Source organism: Homo sapiens, chromosome 7, assembly GCF_000001405.40.
Source record: "Homo sapiens chromosome 7, GRCh38.p14 Primary Assembly".
Lineage (NCBI taxonomy): Eukaryota > Metazoa > Chordata > Mammalia > Primates > Hominidae > Homo > Homo sapiens.
In genome coordinates this window covers 149,236,159-149,255,821 of record NC_000007.14, presented here as the reverse complement: position 1 = coordinate 149,255,821, position 19,663 = coordinate 149,236,159, and the positions used below count along the sequence as shown (strand labels likewise).

At 46.0% G+C, this 19,663-nt stretch overlaps 1 protein-coding gene across 1 annotated transcript, besides 1 other annotated feature; it reads right to left on the bottom strand.

Annotated features, from left to right (window-relative positions):
• Nucleotides 1–215: 215 nt before the first annotated feature.
• On the bottom strand, nucleotides 216–16,171 carry ZNF212 (zinc finger protein 212). Its single transcript, NM_012256.4, has 5 exons — nucleotides 16,020–16,171; nucleotides 5,274–5,663; nucleotides 5,015–5,141; nucleotides 3,027–3,116; nucleotides 216–2,263 (listed from the first exon to the last, which is right to left on the bottom strand). Exons 1-5 carry the CDS (start codon nucleotides 16,041–16,043, stop codon nucleotides 1,407–1,409), a joined length of 1,488 nt encoding a protein of 495 aa, NP_036388.2. The 5' UTR covers nucleotides 16,044–16,171; the 3' UTR covers nucleotides 216–1,406.
• Nucleotides 16,110–16,404: an enhancer, noted in NCBI's record as "tiled region #80; HepG2 Activating DNase unmatched - State 1:Tss, and K562 Activating DNase unmatched - State 1:Tss". NCBI's record gives its function as "activates a minimal TATA promoter and a strong SV40 promoter by Sharpr-MPRA in HepG2 and K562 cells {active_cell/tissue: HepG2 | K562}" and the evidence as "EXISTENCE:reporter gene assay evidence [ECO:0000049][PMID:27701403]".

Here is a 19,663-nt window from a genome sequence, read left to right as displayed (position 1 = left end):
CCCAGACTGTCTCCAGCTCTCCACCATCATAAGTACAGTCCCCTGAAAATTTTCACCCATGCCACATCTTGTCTTCTGTCCTAGGTTTAAGTAAAAGTGCAGGTTAGGCTGTGCCATCAGTCCTTCCCTGTCATCACTCCAGGTCAGGTGCCTCTCCTCCACCTTGGCCCCAGGAGAGTGTTCTTGACAAACGGAGAAAAACATCCAGTATGAACTTTTTTTTTTTCTTTTGCTAGTAGCAAGTTTTATTCTAAGCAACCGCAAATCATCCAAGGGGATGTTCACATATGACCCCAGAGCCCACTCCCATCCCCCCAGACAGCAGCGGGGCACACATTCAACACTCCTGAGACAAGCCATCTGTGTGCTTTTTCTGTACCCTCTCTGGAATAGGCAATCCCAGAATGCATTTGGAAACTGTAATCCGAACCACCTCAAGTAAGGATTGGTGTAATAGGAACAAACTCAAATAACCACTGGTACAAGGTGAACAACCTTAAGTAACAAAGTAGTTTTCTACTCTGGGAGGCTGCAGAACATAGCCAGGAGGAGGTGGGAAGAGGAGAGGGGTATGCCGAGACACCGCAAGTCCCAGACCACAGCCATACCATCAGCAACTTCACTGGAATCTTTCTTCTCAACAGGGCTGCAGGGTCTACCCCTCCGACTCTTTTCCTCTTGGTCCTTTTGAGACAATTTGAGAGCACCAGGCACTGCACGAGGGAACCTAGCACCGTGTCCCCTGCTCTCCGGCCTAAGTAAGCATCAGTGGGCTAAAAGAGCCCCATTAACAACTCCCTCCTAGAGGGTAGGTCCAGTCCCCAAGTTAGGAACAACTTCTACAACTCTTAAAATGTAAAAAACAAGTGTTGGGCTGTATTCTTTAAAAAATCAACTAAAATCTAATTCCAAAAAAGGTTCTTCAGAGCAGGGCTAAGCAGTTCATTTAAATTATTTCTTCTACTTATTATTAAACAAAGAGATTATAAAACAAGAAAAAATGGAGGGTTATACTTCCCAGAACTCTTCCAGGCAGCTGCTCACCCCTATGGCCCGACTCAACCCCGTGGGAAGACATGAAATGCCGGGACGAGCCCTGGAACCAGCCACCAGTCCCTGTGGGGTCAGAACGCCAACCCCAGCCCACAAGCATTGGCATGAATGAGAAAACCAGAGACCTGAAGGTGCCAAGAAACAGCAAACTTGGCAGCAGGATGAAGACCTGGCCTGGACTCTTCTTCCACAGGGTTTTCAGGACAGCCTTTGGGCTTGGCTTGGTACTGGGACAAGGGAAGGCAATCACAAACAACTGCCCTCAGGAAGAACTCAGTCCCTGACTGCAGTGTCTCTTCGGGGGAACCAATGCCACCCCCCTCCATCCCCCAGACGGGCGAGGGGCTGCACCCTTAAAGCAGGCCATTGGGCCTTCCGGGCTCCAGGGCCAGCCCACCCCGCTCCCGCTGGTGGATCTTCTGGTGCTGCAGGAGGTGCTGCTTCTGGACAAAGCTCTTCTCACACTCAGTGCAGCTGTAGGGCCGCTCACCCGTGTGGATGCGCTGGTGCCGCACCAAGTCAGATGGGTGACTGAAGCTCTTGCCACAGTAACCACAGATGAGGGAACTCCGGCTTTTCCTCCAAGGGATGTGGCCAGGCAGGGCAACCAGGCTGTTGGGTGAGAACCTCTCTTGGACATGCTGGCCGGCACTGGGCCCCTCCTGCAGGTGGCAACGCTGATGGGTCACCAGGCTCACCTTGCAGCTGAAGCTCCTCAGGCACACATCACACTGATGCAGCTTGGCCTTTTTGGTCTGTGGTTTCAGCCGTGGCCTGGGCCTAAGGCTCTCCTCTGGCTCCTCAGGTGTACAAGACCCCCACCCAGAGTGGCTGCGCAGATGTGTGGCCAGCTGCTGCTTATAGCGGAAGGTGATCTCACACTCAGAACATTCGTAGGGGCGGGAAGTGTCCTTTTTCAGCTTCAGGCCCTGCCCACATTCCTGGTCCAGCTGTACCTGCCTATGAGATTTCTGCTTCGGGCAGCCCACAGTTCTGCTGCTGCTAGGAACTCTACTACCAACAGGCTCCTCTAGAGTAGAGTCCCCAGGACCTGTTTCCAAGAGGACAGAACTGCCCTGACCACCCCAGAGTTCGGTCTGCTCTGGGCTCAGGAAAGCCTGCTCTTCAGCAATGCATGAGAACTCTCCAGGAAGATCCGCAGGGCCTTCCTGTGTATACTGTAGCTCCTGTTTGATCATGACCCCACCTGCTGCAAAGTGGAAGAAGACCAACAAAAAAGATCACATTCTAGTACCTTTGGTTTCTTCAGGACCAAACAAACATCTGTGAATTTCAGAAGCACCCCAGGAATAAGTGAATTAGGATAACGTGGAGGAGGATGACACTGGCTAGGTTCCAAGACTTCTATAAAACTATATTCATGTACAGTTTTTCCAATGTTGATTGGAAATATAAATGTATTACTCTTATAAAACAATACTGTAAATGATAGTTCTCCAAGCTTGTCTACAAATTTATATTTAATCCCTGTGAAAAATGACAGAATACACTGTAACAACTATACTCAATTAAGAGTGTTAAAATAACAAATTTGAATGATTAAAGACAAACTAAACCTACAGCTTAAGAATTCATGTCCAGCTCTGTTCTTCCTCCATAACCTCCCAAATTACCTACTGACAAGTGCTTTTCCTGCACTGCCTTCCCTCCTGAAGCTCTGACATACCTACGCTCAATCTCCAGCAGGTTTTGACTACCGCCTCGTACGGTACTCTATTCTGTAGGGCATGAAGAATAATGATTGATGTGGCCGTTAGTCTTAAAGACCCCACAGGGTGGTAGGAGTTGAGGCATATGTAACAGCTGAACTAACGACAATCATAAAGGAGTCCAGAACAAGCAGATGCCAGATGAGGTCACCAAGTCAGCACCTGGCACTTCAGCCGTGGGAAAGCTCACTCTAGGCTACAGAGGGCTATGGAAGGGGAACAGAATATTCCAGAGCCACTCACCTGGGTGGGCACCACCAGGACCTTCCTCTTCCAAGTCACCCAGCATCTCTGTACCCAACTCCGCTTCTCCCTCTGTCTGGCCAAGGACCTCTGGGTGGGAAACAGCACAGTGTGAGCCCAGGAGAGAGTGAAAGCTCACTGCACACTGATCAGCTGCCAGTGACCAAGATGACCAATGGCAGGGAGGAAATATAGATTCAAAGGCTACTGTTCTTGTCAGTTTCCCCTAGCAGTTTGGGACAATTATAAAATTCTGGCCAATCATAACAACTGACTTGGCTAGCTGCTGCCTCCAGTGCTCCTCCATTAGAGGGGCTGTGGCTCAGGCAGGCAGGCTACAGAGCTACCACTGCCCTTGATGGCACCACCACCCACCTCTGCCTCTCCATGTGCGTGCAGCTTAAGTCTTGCCAATGCTTCCTTTCAGGGGATCTAATTTCATCCTTGCTAAGGCACTGCAAGGTAAGATGGGCACTGGGACAGACAAGGAAACAGTCACAATGAGAGCATGTGACCCAACCAAGCTTACAAGGTCACTTTTCTGGCCCATTTTCTATTTCCTTTACCTCCTACTCTGCTCCAGGCACTTGACACTCCTCCATGTACCTAGGTTTTAAAAGACTTTGTCTACCAAACAAAACACATTTATTATGTAATAGGTAACATTTTGCATATAAAGACTTATATCTATTAAGCAGCACTCCTAATCAACAAGAAAAAATCACTGAGACCACAATGACCAGCTATAATTCCGGCCAAACACCAAGAAAATGCTTTTGATCAGCCTGTGCTGCCTGCCTCATCCAAGGTAACATAGGGTTATCAAATCATCTTTTTTTTTTTTTTTTTTTTTTAAGCAACAGAGATCTCACTATGTCGACCAGGCTGATTTCGAACTCCTAGCCTCAAGCTATCCTCCCACCTTGGCCTCCCAAAGTGTTGGGATTACAGATGTGAGCTACCACACCCATCTCAAATAGTCTTAAATATTAAAAACAGCATGAGAGGCCAGGTGCGGAGGCTCACGCCTGTAATCCCTGCACTTTGGGAGGCCGACGTGGGTGGATCACTTGAGCCCAGAAGTTCAAGACCAGCCTGGGCAACACAGTAAGACCCACGTCTCTACAAAAAATTTAAAAAATTAGCCAGGCGCAGTGGCATGTGCCTGTAATCCCAGCTACTCGGAAAACTGAGGTGGGAGAATCATTTGAGCCCAAGCTGTCAAGGCTGCAGTGAGCCGAGATCGTACCACTGCACTCCAGCCTAGGTGACAGAGTCTCAAAAAAAAAAAAAAAAAAAAAAAAGATAAAACAGGCCAGACGCAGTGGCTCACACCTGTAATCCTAGCACTTTGGGGGGCTGAGGTGGGCAGATCACGAGGTCAGGAGTTCAAGACCAGCTTGGCCAACATGGTGAAACCCCATTTCTACTAAAAATACAAAAATTAGCTGGGCGTGGTGGCAGTCACCTGTAATTTCAGCTACTCGAGAGGCTGAGGCAGGAGAATCGCTTGAACCTGTGAGGCAGAGGTTGCAGTGAGCCAAGATTGTGCCACTGCACTCCAGCCTGGGCAATAGAGCAAGACTCTGTCTCAAAGAAAAAAAGAAAAAAAAAAGATAAAATAAATTAAAAAACAACATGAGGAACCCTAGCCATATCACACTATAGGGTATATGACATTTTATTTATTAGAAAATACTATCAAGAACAGACTATGTGACCACAGGAAAAAAAAAAAAAAAACACAAAAGGCACAATGCTGCGAGCTTTCCAAAAGTCTCTGTAAATGGGAGGACCTAGAGACTGGCATTTCTCCACCCGTGCAGGTCTGTAAATGGGAGGACCTAGAGACTGGCATTTCTCTGCCCGTGCAGGCCGACAGAGGACCCACAGCCACAGGAGCCACAGGTGTGGTCTGAATTACAGGCTGCCAGCCAGGAATTGTAGTATGTCTGAGACAGAATTCTAGGGAGAAAACTGCTACTCACTCAGAGAGACCAGTGTCTCATAGTTACTCTCCATCACGTTTCTGTAGAGCTCCTTCTGCCAATCCTCCAGATTCTCCCATTCCTGCTCGGTGAAACAGACGCCATCATTCTCCAGTGACCTGGACACCTGGAATCACCAATGGCACACCATGAGTGCTTCTACTCACAGCTATGACAGAAAAGCCAGCAACTGAGGTGCTTACATATTAAAGGGCTGGCTCCCCCTTCTCTTCTAACTTTTAATCCTCAATGAGACTACCTTGGGGGCCTCCCCCTTGCTGCCCGGGGGCAGCCGCAGGATCCAGAAGTTCCTGTTGCGCAGCAGGTTCTCCACGTTCTCCAGCCGCCTCTGCAGTAGCCCATACTCCTGCAGCAGGGTCCCCAGCACGGCCCACTTGCCCTCCAGCTGGTTCCCGAACTCCACGGCCATCTTCTCGCAGTCAGCCAGCTTCTTCTCGGCTGTCCCCGTGCGCCCCTCCAGGCTCTGTAGCCGGGCAGCCTGGGACTCCATCTTCTTCTCCACAGCCTGAATAGCGGCCACCACCGTCCAGAGTGAAATCTCGGTGGTCTGAAAATAGGAGCTTTTCTCTGTTGCTTGTGAAGGAAGTGTGGAAGAAGTTAAAGGTGTGGAGCGTCGTTTTCTCCTGTGCTGATGGATTAAAGACACAGGGTCAATGTCACTTCCAAACATCAAGTAAAGAAAGCAGTGTTCAAGTGTATCAGTGCTCAGAGTTATCTAGTTTCTTTTAATTAAAAAAAAGCATGTCTTTTATTGATACTAAAAATTATACATAGATATTGTATTAATAATGTTGGAAAATGATGAAGAATAGAAAGAAAATATTACACAAAATCTTCTCACACACAATAAGCTGTTAGGGCTGGCCGTGGTGGCTCACAACTGTAATCCCAGCACTTTGGGAGGCCAAGGCAGCTGAATCACTTTAGCTCAGGAGTTTGACACCAGCCTGGCCAACAAGGCAAACCCTGTCTCTACAAAAAAGTTCAAAAAATTAGCCAGGCATGGTGATGCATGCCTGTAGTCCCAGGTACTTGGGGCACTGAGGTGGGAGGACGGTTTGAGCCCAGGAGGTTGAGGCTACAGTGAGCCAAGATCGTGCCAGTGCACTCCAGCCTGAGTAACAGAGTGAGACCCTGTCTCAAAAAAGAAAAAGAAAGAAAGAAGCTGTTTGAATTTTGGTGTATTTCTAAAGTTTTTTTTCATCTTTTAGTTTATTTTTTTTCAACAAAAGTGAAATTATAGCGTGTATGTTCTGTTACCTATGCTTTATGCTTAGCATATTCTCTGAGACTCCTGTATCAGTGTTCATTTTTAAACCTATTTTTATTTAATGTTTTGGACTATATGATAAAAGATGTCACTTACATCTTATCTTGCTTCCACATCCCTGCCAGACTTCATAGTTGATCATGTCACCCGTTTGAAAACTTTCAATGGCTCCCCACAATAAAGACAAAATTCCTTAGCAGGACCTACAAGACCTAATTCATTCATCTTTGCACTCTAGCAGCTGGGATGGTGAATAAATCCTTAAAAAATATTTACTGAAATGATGTGACTAAGTCTACTGACATTTTCCTTATAATTTTCACTTTAATGAGCTGTCTCTGACAGTAGGAAAATCACTGTCATAGAAGCTAAAATTACTGAAACCAACACTGGGGAAGTCTTCCCCAAGCTGTCCCCCTACTGTCTCCCTGCACGTTCACTTCAGTCCTAACCCCCTCTGCAAACTTCACTTTATTTGAATAAAGCACACACTTTATTCAAGGCTGCTTCTCTAACCACAGTGAGGCCACCAAGACCGAGACACTAGAGGAAATATCTCGGAAAGAACTGCTGGGGCCAAGGGTTGTGGTCCAGAGAACATGGGACAAAAGGAAACTGACTGGTGCAGAACTGAACATTTAAGTTTGGCCATGACCTACTCTAGTTACTCAAGTCAGTTAATTCATCATGGAACACATGAGACAAAAGCTTAAATACATCCTCCTGCAAGAGATTAAAAGAAAAGTTCAATGTAAAAGACAAATACAAGCGAAACAAAACAAAATATTAAACTGGATATATGCATGCCATCATGTTTGTTTTGCTTCTACTTTAAGTCTGTGAGTCTCCTCTTTCTGTGGCCCAGCATTCTGTGCTCAGTAGCACTTTTTCTAGACAGGAATGTAGGTGAGAATCTGTGCAAAGGAATAAGCCCCCTCCTCTTCCACATAGTAAGAGGTTGAAAAGAATGATTAAGCTAGTTTCTTCTTGTCTTCTGTTTTGAATTATCTAGCATGATGGGAACAATTCAAATGTTCACGAACCAGTCAATGGATGAAAAAATTGTGATCCATCCAGTGTTATGGGTTGAATTGTGTCTCCTCAAAATAATACAGTAAAACCCTAATCCTCAGTACCTCAGGATGTGATCTTACTTGGAAATAAGGTACTTCCAAGGGTAATCAGGTTAAAATGAGGTCATTAGGATGGGCCTTAATCCAATGACTGATGTCCTTAAAACAGAGGACCTTTAGACGCAGACACACACACACACAGGGAGAAGATGTCTACTATGGTTTGTCCTCACCAAAACCCATGTTGAAATTGTATTTCCAATGTGGCAGTGTCGGGAGGTGAAGTCTCGTGGGAGGTGTTTGGGTCATGAGGGCATATCCCTCATAAATAAATTAATGCGCTCCCACAGGGGTGAGCTGTCATTGGCAGGAATGGATTAGTTCCCACTACAGTGGGTTGTGAAACAGTCTGACTTCTTTGGTCTCTCTCTTGCCTCCTCTGTCACCATGTGATCTCTACACACACCTGCTGCCCTTCCATTTTCTGCCATGAGTTTAAGCAGCTTGAAGCCCTCACTAGACACAGCTGCCCAATCTTGAACTTTCCAGCCACCAGAATTGTGAGCCAACTAAACCTCTTTTCTTCATGAATTACCCAGCCTCATGTATTCTGTTACACCAATACATAATGGGCCATGTCAAGATTAAGGCAGAGACTGGACTTATGCTGCCACAAACCAAGAAAACACATGGGACCACCAGAAGCTAGGAGAGAAACACAAAACTCATAAGGAACCAACCCTGCAAACATCTTGATTTCAGACTCCTAACCTCCAGAACTGTGAGACAGAATTTCTGTTATTTAAGCTTCCCAGTTTGTTACACCAGCCCTAGGAAACAGACACACTATATAAGACACTTCATTATATACCGTATTATATATTTAGTGTATTTTTCCTATATAGCTTAGAAGACTACTAAGCCTGCTACTTAGTAGTAGACTACTACTTCGACTACTAAGTCTACTACTATGTAATAAAAAGGAACCAAAATCACTGACATGTTTAACAACATGCTAAGTGACGGGAATCAGACAAAGGTCAGGCACGGTGGCTCATACCTATAATCCCAACACTTTGGGAGGCTAAGATGGATCACTTGAGCCCAGGAGTTCAAGATCAGCCTGGGCAACAAAGCAAGACCCCCACCTCCACAATTTTTTTAAAATGAGCCAGACGTGGTGGCATGTGCCTATAGTCCCAGCTACTTGGGAGGCTGAGGATGGGAGGATCACTTGAGCCCTGGAGTTCAAGGTTGCAGTGAACCATGATCACACTACTGCACTCCAGCCTGAGTGACAAAGTAAGACCACTTAAAAAAAAAAAAAAGAAGGGCCGGGCATGGTGGCTCACACCTAAAATCCCAGCACTTTGGGAGGCCGAGGCGGGCGGATCACCTGAGGTTGGGAGTTCGAGACCAGCCTGACCAACATGGAGAAACCCCATCTCTACTAAAAATACAAAATGAGCCGGGCATGGTGGCGCATGCCTGTAATACCAGCTACTCGGGAGGCTGAGGCAGGAGAATCACTTAAACCTGAGAGGCGGAGGTTGCGGTGAACCGAGATCACACCATTGTACTCCAGCCTGGGCAACAAGAGCAAAACTCCAAAAAAAAAAAAAAAAAAAAAGAATTCAGACACAAAAGGCTACATTTGTGTTTCATTTACATGTTTGGAAAAAAGCAAACTATAGGGACAGAAATCAGATCAGTGGTTGCCAAGGGCTAGGGATAGGAGAAAAATATTGATTATAGGCCAGGCACAGTGGCTCACACCTATAACCCCAGCACTTTGGGAGGCCGAGGAGGGCGGATTGATCATGAGGTCAGGAGATCAAGACCATCCTGGCTAACATGGTGAAACCCCATCTCTACTAAAAATACAAAAACAAAATTAGCCAGGTGTGGTGGCAGGTGCCTGTAGTCCCAGCTACTTGGGAGGTTGAGGCGAGAGAATGGTGTGAACCCAGCAGGCGGAGCCTGCAGTGAGCTGAGATCACGTCACTGCACTCCAGCCTGGGCAACAGAATAAGACTCCGTCTCAAAAAAAAAAAAAAAGACTGATTATAAAGGGATATGAGGGAACTTTCTTGGATGATGGAAATATTCTCTATCTTGGTAATATGCTGGCTACACATTTGTCAAAATTTGTTGAACTATCTGCCTAAAGAGTAAATTTTACTGTATGTAAATGGTATCTCAATAAACACGTCTTAGAATGTCAAAGTAGGAGAAAATGCTAGCTGTAATAAAAGATAACATAAACAAAGTCTAAAAACAAGGAGAGAATATTTGTAAACAGAATATGAAGTGGAAAAAGGTCAAGAACCCCAAAATAAAACTGCAGATTGTAAATCATTCATGGAAGCGGAAATGCAGGCAGTCAATAAACAAATGAAAACACAACCACCTTACAATCAGGAATCCAAATATAACTAAGTGAAAGCACGTTCACCCATCAGACTGACAAACATGAAACAGACACAAAGAATAACATTCAGAGCTGACTATAATGTGGTAAACTGACTCTCATAACACTCCTGGAAGGAATGAAAAATACTACACACTCTTAGGGGAAGAAAAATTTCAAGTCATTAAAAACCCTTTTACCTAGCAATCCCACTTGGGGAATCTATGGCTGGGCACAGTGGCTCGAGTCTGTAATCCCAGCACTTCGGGAGGCTTGAGGCGGGAGGACAGCTTGAGCCCAGGAGTTCAAGAACAGCCAGGGCAAGATGGTGAAATCCCATCTCTACAAAAAGACAATAAAATTAGCCAGGCATGATGACAGGTGCCTATAGTTCCAGCCACTCAGGAAGCTGAGGTGGGAAGATCACTTGAGCCCAGGGGATTGAGGCTGCAGGAAGCCATGATCACACCACTTCCCTCCAGTGACAGAGAGAGATTCTGTCTCAAATAAATAAAGACACGGTCTCACTCTGTCACCCAGGCTGGAGGGCAGTGGCACGATTATACGTCCTGGTATTACAGGCATGAGTCACCCCACCCAACAGAAAAGTGACACATTTAGGATGAATTTCAATTCATAAACATAGTATGCAAATCCTTTTTTTTTTTTTTTTTCTGAGATGGAGTCTCTCGCTCTGTCGCCCAGGCTGCAGGCTGGAGTGCAGTGGCATGATCTCAGCTTACTGCAACCTCTGTCTCAGGTTCAAGTGATTCTCCTGCCTCAGCCTCCCAAGTAGCTGGGATTACAGGTGTGTGCCACCACTCCTGGTTAATTTTTCTGTATTTTTAGTAGGGACAGGGTTTCACCATGTTGCCCAGGCGGGTCTCAAACTCCTGACCTCAAATGATCCACCTGCCTCAGCCTCCCAAAGTGCTAGGATTATAGGCATGAGCCACCATGCCCAGCCTTTTGAGACTCCATTTTTAATATCTTTCAATGTTTTAACATTTTCCCTAGGTATCTATTCCAACCATCAACTCCTGTATGACAAATAATCCCCAAATTTAGTGGCTTAAGACATCATCATCTACTTTGCATGTGAATCTGCAGTTAAAGGAGGGTGGCACATGGATGGTTCGTCTCTGCTCCACTCTCTGTCAAGTGGGGCAAATCACAGGCAGCCAGGTGCTAGAATCCCTTGAGAAATCCCAAGCCACATGAAGAGGGTGCATGAAGTGTTCTGTTCAACGGCCTTACCTACAATCTCAGTCTACACACCAGCATCAACCAATAGACATGGGAATGCACACATTTTCATTCCCAATAGGTTTTTATTTTTGCCTCCTCTCTTTTGTTTTCATTTTGTCTCTACACTTTGATATTATATACTGATAGATATATGGATTAAAAAAATCATTTCTGGCCAGGTGCAGTGGCTCACGCCCATAATTCCAGCCCTTTGGGAGGCCAAGGTGGGCGGATCATGAGGTCAGGAGATCGCGACCATCCTGGCTAACATGGTGAAACCCCATCTCTACTAAAAATACAAAAGAATTAGCCGGGCGTGGTGACGGGCTCCTGCAGTCCCAGCCACTGGGGAGGCTGAGGCAGGAGAATGGCATGAACCCGGGAGGCGGAGCTTGCAGTGAGCCGAGATCGCACCACTGCACTCCAGTCTGGGCAACAGAGAGAGACTCTGTCTCAGAAAAAAAATAAAAATAAAAATAAAAATAATCATTTCTGTACCTGTGCTTCCAATATAATATCCACTAGTCACATGTGGCTGGTTAAATAAAATTAGCCGGGCACAGTGGCTCGTGCCTGTAACCCCAACCCTTTGGGAGGCCAAGACAGCCGGATCACTTGAGGTCAGGAGTTCAAGACCAGCCTGACCAACATGATGAAACCCTGTCTCTACTAAAAATACAAAATTAGCCGGGTGTGGTGGCACATGACTGTAATCCCAGATACTCAGGAGGCTGAGGCAGAAGAATCACTTGAAACTGGGAGGCAGAGGTTGCAAGGTTGCAGTGAGCCAAGATTGCACCACTCTACTCCAGCCTGGGTGACAGAGTGAGAGTCTGTCTCAAAATAAATAAATAAAATTTAAAACTCAGTTCCTCAATCATACTAGCTAACATTTCAAGTGCTCAAAAGCCACATGTGCCTAGTGGCCACTGTATTAAACAGTGCAGAGCAGAACATTTCTATCATCTTGGGAAGTTCTACTGGATGCACTACACCCTTATAAGTCTTTTCTATTTGATAAAATACTAAGGTTGTATTAAAATCTCCTATTATAACAGTGAATCTTTCTCGCAATTCTGTCAGTTTTGTTTTATATATTTTTAGGCTATGTAATTAGGTGCATACAGGTTTAGAAATTTTGTATCTAGCTGGTAAATTGAGTCTTTTACCATTACAAAAGTAGTAGGAGCCTTCTATCTCTAAAGATACTAAATATATTTGTCAACTTTATTTTCATTAGTATTTGCTTGGCATATTTTTTCATGACCTTTTATATTCAACTGTTTCTATATCCTTATCTTTTAGTTGTATCTCTCTCTCTCTCTCTTTTTTTTTTTTTTTTTTTTTTTTTTGAGACGGAGTCTCACTCTGTCACCCAGGCTGGAGTGCAGTGGCGCAATCTTGGCTCACTGCAACCTTTGCCTCCCAGGTTCAAGTGATTTTCCTGCCTCAGCAACCTCCGCCTCCTGGGTTCACGCCAGTCTCCTGCCTCAGCCTCCCAAGAAGCTGGGACTACAGGCACCCACCATCACATCTGGCTAATTTTTTGTATTTCTAGTAGAGACGGAATTTCACTGTGTTAGCCAGGATGGTCTCAATTTCCTGACCTCATGATCCACCCAACTTTGCCTCCCAAAGTGCTGGGATTACAGGCGTGAGCCACCACGCCCAGCCGGTTGTAACTCTTTTAAACCATCTAGTTGGATTTTTCCCCCATCCTGACAATCTATGCCTTTTAACTTGAACATTTCATTCATTTACATTTATTGTAATTGTTCATTAGCTTTGATTTATTTTTACCTTTTTTGTGCTATTTATCCCATCTTTCTTCTCTACTTTCTTGTCTTCTTTTACATTAATTTTTTCTTATTCCATTATCCCCCTTTCTGATCTGTAAGTTATACGACCAATTTCGAGTTGTTTAGCAAGTATCCTAGAAATTATGGGAAACATACATAGAAGGCCCTTTAACAAAGCCCTTTAAACACTTTAGTTCTGATCATCTCTTCCTCATATTTACATCAATGCCATCATGTATTTTAATTGTTTTTAACACAACAAGAAATTGTTACGTTTTATTAAGTCACTATTTGTTTAGATTTAACCATTTCCATGCATCATCACATCTTCTCATATTTTCAGACTTTCTATTTGGGAAAATTTTCATTTTACCTGAGGTATATCTTTTAGAATTTCCTTTTCTAAGAGTGTATTGGTAGCAAACTGTCATTTTTAATTTGTCTAAAAATGTCTTCTTTACATCTTTGTTTCTGAAACATTTTTGCTGCATATAAAACTATGGGACCACAGTTACTTTCTTTCAGCCTATTGACAATATCATTCTACTTTTGCCTAGCTTCCATGGTTGCTGTTGAGAAGCTGGCCCCCATTCATTTTGCTGTACTTCATTTCAAGGTAGTCTTTTTTTTTTTTGGTTGCTTTTAAGAATTCCCTCTGCCTTAGGCCGGGTGCGGTGGCTCATGCAGTGGTAATCCCAGCACTTTGGGAGGCCGAGGCAGGTGGATCACCTGAGGTCAGGAGTTCAGAGACCAGCCCAGCCAACACGGTGAAACCCCATCTCTACTAAAAATACAAAATTAGCCAGGCATGGTGACGCATGCCTGTAATCCCAGCTACTCCGGAGGCTGAGGCAGGAGAATCGCTTAGAACCTGGGAGGCAGAGGTTTCAGGCAGCCAAGATTGCTCCACTGCACTCCAGCCAGAGCAAGAGAGCGAGACTCTCTCAAAAAAAAAAAAAAAAAAAGAAAAGAAAAGAAAAAGAAGAAAAGAAAGAAAAGAAACGAAACTATGGCCAGGCACGGTGGCTCACGCCTGTAATCTCAGTGCCAAGGTTTAACAACTTACTTTGCAATCATCTGAAGGTCAGACCTTACTTTCAGTTCACCCTTACACAGAATGTTACCCTTTGAACTCTCTGCTTCATGGGATTGGGTTAGGGAGCTTCTTAGACTTTCCATCTTAGGCTCTGAGATGTGTGTTCCATTTTGCAGGTCCCTTGAATCATAAACACCAAAGATGAATGTTTGGCCAATGCCCTCAAAGTTGGCTTCAGAACTCTATCACTTTCGAGTTTCCTCTTTCGCTTAAGTTTTGGGGCTCCAAGTATTCTTTACTAAAATACATTTCAAATGCATTTATGTGCAGGGTTTTCCAGCATTTTCAGTTGTTTCATCAGGGCACCTACTTGAGCTTACTGTTAAATGACAGACACCTGAAATGTCTGAGAAGAGAAACAGGCTCAAGAACAATTTGAATAAGTTCTACAACGACAGATTCATGTTATTTAAGGCATAGTTTGGGATTGTGGTGGACTTTTTTTTTTTTTTTTTTTTTGAGACAGAGTCTTGCTCTGTCACCCAGGCTGGAGTGCAATAGCACGATCTCAGCTCACTGCAACCTCCACCTCCCAGGTTCAAGCGATTATTCTGCCTCAGCCTCCCGAGTAGCTGGGTCTACAGGCACCCGCCACCACGCCCGGCTAATTTTTGTATTTTTAGTAGAGACCGGGTTTCACCACATTGGCCAGACTAGTCTTGAACTCCTGACCTCGTGATCCGCCCTCCTCGGCCTCCTAAAGTGCTGGGATTACAGGCATGAGCCACTGCGCCTGGCCTGTGGTGGACCTTTAAGGCTTCTTCCTAACAAGGTCTACTGACGACATGTAGGTAATTGTGGAGTGACCTGGCAGGAAGAACTGTGGCAGAATCCTCTCGCCGGACTCTAACACTAACTAGATCTTGTGGAAAAGCCAAGTCTTTGACTGGCTCAGCCTAGCTTATAGGAGTCAGATGAGGTTAATATTGTAAACATTTGTGTCTTGTCTTCCCAATTCAACTGTTAACTTCCTTGAAAGCAAATACTGTGTTCTCTAAGTCTCCCAATCTCTCCGTTCTTAGTTCTTAACGCACTTTCTACAAGAATCAAATATAGCGCACCCTGCTCATGGTCAAATTTTCCCCACAGAATTTCCTTAGCCCTCCATTCTCACAAAGATCTAACATGATTCTCGAAGTGTTTCTAGACCAAGGAACACTTCATTAAAAGTCAATTCAATTCCAGCTGCCCCTTCCGTTGCAAACCCTCTGGTGTTGTTAAATTAACCACTACTTTGAAACAGTATGGGAACAGTATGAGAATGTCGGAGCTGGAAGGAAACTTAAAGCCTTGGAGATCATCTAGCAACTACTCCAACACTCTCGATTTACAGTTAAGAAAACGAAAGAGACCCAGAGAAGCGAACACAGTTGCCTAAAATCACCCAAATGGACAGCTGAAAGCTTCGTGACTCCACAAATAGGATTTTCCTCACACCAAACTCCGTATCTTGACATTCCCAGAATGGGGATGGTCGGTGGGCTGGGAGGGGGGTGTTGGGGGGGGGGTGAAGGAGAGAGTTTGGGCAGCTCTACAAACAAAATGCAGCAACTGCACTGTAGATAACATCCGTCCCCAAGGAGAAGCAGCCCAGGCTGACTTCAACCTGTGGCTGCAACCCCCAGACAGAAATCTGCAGCACTGGAAAAACCGACAACACATCGGACCGAAGAGGAGGTGGTCGCAGAGAGGCAAGTCCTGGGGTCTCCCGGGCAGCGGGAGAGCTCACTCGTAGCGACGGAGACCGTTTCCAATCTGGAAACACTCCAACCTGGGAACGGGCTCTTTTGGCACGAAAGAGAAAATGTGTGGGCAGGGTCACAAATCCACCAACCTAAAGCAAGCGTCAGAGAAGTTTCTGGGCAAGGGCGCACGGCGCCGAGGCTCCGACCCCGCTGCAGAAGGAAGCGGAGGGAAAAAAGGGCAGAGCACTGGGGTCGCGAAGAGGAGGGTCCGCGTTCACCCGCGCCAACGGCAGCCCCGGGAAACCAAGACCCCGGCGGCGTCCAAACCGCGAAGCCCCGCCCCCGGCAGGGGACTCCGCCATCCCCAACGCGCCCTCGAGCCAGCGCGCCGGTGCCTCTTTACCCGAGCAGGCGCCGACTCCGCCATGGCTCCAGTCGCCCCTCAACACCCAGACCCCGCCTCGGAGCCCCCGTGCTGCGTTCCTGTCCGCTCGGCGCCCCAGAGCCTGTTGGAAGCCGCCGCCGCCGCCGCCGTGTTGATGCCAGGTGCATTCTGGGAGCAGCGACCTCCCCGGCACAAGACCGGCTCCAGCCGCTCTTCCTCACTGTGCAGGCTTCCCATTGTGCCCCCGTGCGGCGGGAGGGAGAACGCTGCTTGGCACTCCCGGCCAGAGTGCGGGCACCAGGAGGGCTCAGTCACTCAAAAGTCAAGACCAGGTTCCGCGTTTCAGGCAAAGCCACGGGATCCTGCTGTCTTCCGTATGCCCAGCACTCTGCTAAATGCTTTGAGGGATTCAAAAATGTGTACAACTCAGACTTTTTGCTGAGGAAAGAACATGTAATGTTGTTGGGGAAAAGAAATATGGTTCCAAAAGGCAAGTGATTTTATTCCAAAAGTTCACCTGTTATTTGGCTTTTTAGAAACTGGGAACAGTTTCCATATCAACAGTGTGGAGCGTGGGGTCAGGCCCAGGCCAGCCCTCTGTAGCCTGTTAATTATGGTAATCATGTGCCTTGGAAAGTCCAAGACAACCCTGATTTCAAATATTTCCAGTCCTCATGCTACATGTAAGACGATGTGTCTGGAATTTTTGTTGGAAAGCACGGCCACATGACCATTTAATCGCCATGTACTTAATCCCCAATACCAGCAACACTACGGCAACCATAGCTGCCTAATTTATACCATTGTCTCTCTGGAGACAAGCAATGAACTTCCACTTCACAGGATAGGCGTGAAGTGTTTCCTCTGAGAACGAAACTTTTTTTTTTTGAGATGGAGTTTCGCTCTTGTTGCCCAGGCTGGAGTGCAATGGCGCAATCTCGGCTCACTGCAACCTCCACCTCCCGGGCTCAAGCGATTCTTCTGCCTCAGCCTCCCTAGTAGCTGGGATTACAGGCATGTGCCACCACGCCTGGCTAATTTTGTATTTTTAGTAGAGACGGGGTTTCCCCATGTTGGTCAGGCTGGTCTCAAACTCCCGACCTCAGGTGATCCGCCCACCTCAGCCTCCCAAAGCGCCGGGATTACAGGTGTGAGCCACCCCACCCGGCGGAGAACGAAACTTTTAAGATCATGACTGGCTCCTTCCTCACATGCAGGGCTCAGTTCAGATTCTACATCCTCAGAGAGATATCCCCAGTCCCCCCTTTCTACAGCCCCACACCATCCTCCATCTCAATACTCAATCTCGTTACCCTGCTGGAAATTTTTCATACCATTTATCACCATCTGAAGTAATCTCTCTTTTTCACTCATTTACATATTAATTATCTGTATCTCTTCCACTGAAATGTCTGTCTACTGTATCCTCCATTTGTTGTACACAGAAGTGTTCATATTTGTAAATGATTGAATGGTGAATCAGAGTGTAAGGATATGAAATGTCATCTCAAACAGAGGCATTATTTCCAGGGCAACTAGATCAACGGGCACGTCACTGAATCATTAATAAATCTAGAGAAAGAATGGGCCAGGCTGAAGAAACCGGTCAGTCAGGGAGATCCTGTCCAGAGGGTCTGACCTAATCTCTCAGACCAACAAACTCTTGGTGTCAGATACAGAAAAAAAAAAAAATGTGTCATGGGTGAGGTGGCTCATGCCTGTAATCCTAGCACTTTGGGAGGGCAAGGCAGGAGGATCACTGGAGTTTGAGACCAACCTGAGCAAATAGGCAGACCCTGTCTCTACAAAATTAAAATTAAAATTAAAATGAGCCAGGAGTAGTGGTGCACACCTGTAGTCTCAGCTACTCAAGAGGTTGAGGTGGAAGAATCATTTGAACCCAGTAGTTCAAGGCTGCAGTGAATCACGATCGCACCACTGCACTCCAGCGTAGGCAACAGACCAAGATCTTGTCTTTAAAAATAAAATAAAAATGTTATCCTCCACAGGCACAATATCAGGACATAGGATGCTGAGGTCATTAAACAGTTCGGTCGTAGAACTCATTCCCTCTATTCTATTTCTATACTCACAAGGCAACCTTCTGACGTTGCATGTTGCCAGGTAGCTTCTGGGAGGCAACATGCAGGTGAAGCTGATGCACATGTATACCTCAGTCTCTTGAAAATGAGCATGTTTCAGCATCCCAGACTCTGAGCCTGGAAGTCTGGAAAAAGGTTCAGATCAAATTTCCAGCCTGCAAAGGAGGCAGCACCAGGCACCAGGGTTGCAATCACGTGGGCTGGTGGAGATGGTGTGGCGCCTGCAGTCCCCCGGGCTGATGAAGACAGTGTGGCACAGTGATTTGCTAAGTGGGGCTGGGGAGTGAGACCGTCTGGGTCCCTAGCCCAGCACTGCCAGTATATTAGGTTTCTCTAGACAGACTAATAGGATATATATATAATGTTATATAAAGGGGAGTTTATTAAGTATTAACTCACATGCTCACAAGGCTCCACAATAGGCTATCTGGAAGCTGAGGAGCAAGGAGAGCCAGTCTGCGTCCCAAAACTGAAGAACCTAGAGTCTGATGTTCGTTGATGTTCGAGGGTGGGAAGGGTCCAGCATGGGAGAAAGAAGTAGGCTGGGAGGCTAGGCCAGTCTAGTCTTTTCACATTTTTCTGCCTACTTTATATTCTAGCTGTGCTGGCAGCTGATTAGATTGTGCCCACCAGATTGAGGGTGGGTCTGCCTTTCCCAGCCTACTGACTCAAATGTTAATCTCCTTTGGCAACACCCTCACAGACACACCCAGGATCAATACTTTACATCCTTCAATGCGATCAAGTTGATTCAGTATTCACCATCACAGCCACTTACTAGATGTGAAACTTGGTCAGGTCTTTAACTTCTTAGTACTTGTTTCCTCATGATTATTGGTGAATAGATAACAGTACTTAGCTCATAGAGTTGTGTGAATTAAATGAGTGAATTCAAGTCAAGTGCTTAGAACAGTACCTGGCACAGAGGAAGAGCTCAAGAAGTACTCATGATCATTATTGTTGTTTAGTCCCAGATCCTTCATTTACTAAGTGCTGTGGCTCATGCTCACTCTGCCCTAGTGTCCTTGTCTTCCACTGAGAATGTGAACACCTCATCCTAAGGTTGCTGATGGAACTAAAAGAAAGAATTTATGTAAAGTGCTTATGTAGCCAAGTGCCCGGCATACAGCAAGCACTTGATAACAGGCAATTTCTTCTCTCTGCTTTACTTTTGCAAGGTCCAAGCCTTGTATTGCAATGAGTTCAGCAGGATAAATGTGGCTTTGTTGTGTCTCTTAGAAACTACCCATTTGTTTTTTCCAACTGACATTCAAATCTTGACATATGCTGTTTTAAAAAACGTTGTTGGCCGGGTGTGGTGGCTTACGCCTGTAATCCCAGCACTTTGGGAGGCCAAGGCAGGCGGATCACAAGGTCAGGAGATCGAGACCATCCTGGCTAACATGGTGAAACCCTGTCTCCACTAAAAATACAAAAAATTAGCCAGGTGTGGTGGCGGGCGCCTGTAGTCCCAGCTACTCCAGAGGCTGAGGCAGGAGAATGGTGTGAACCTGGGAGGCAGAGCTTGCAGTGAGCGAGATTGCACCACTGCACTCCAGC

Bases quoted from the DNA above. Each gene is read 5' to 3' on its own strand.
- ZNF212 (NM_012256.4), bottom strand. From the start codon at position 16,043: ATGGCGGAGTCGGCGCCTGCTCGG. The intron at 5,664-16,019 runs GTAAAGAGGCAC...TTAATCCATCAG, and splicing joins CGGAGTCGGCGCCTGCTCGG to CACAGGAGAAAACGACGCTC. The intron at 2,264-3,026 runs GTGAGTGGCTCT...TCCACTTTGCAG, and splicing joins TCCTGGTGGTGCCCACCCAG to CAGGTGGGGTCATGATCAAA.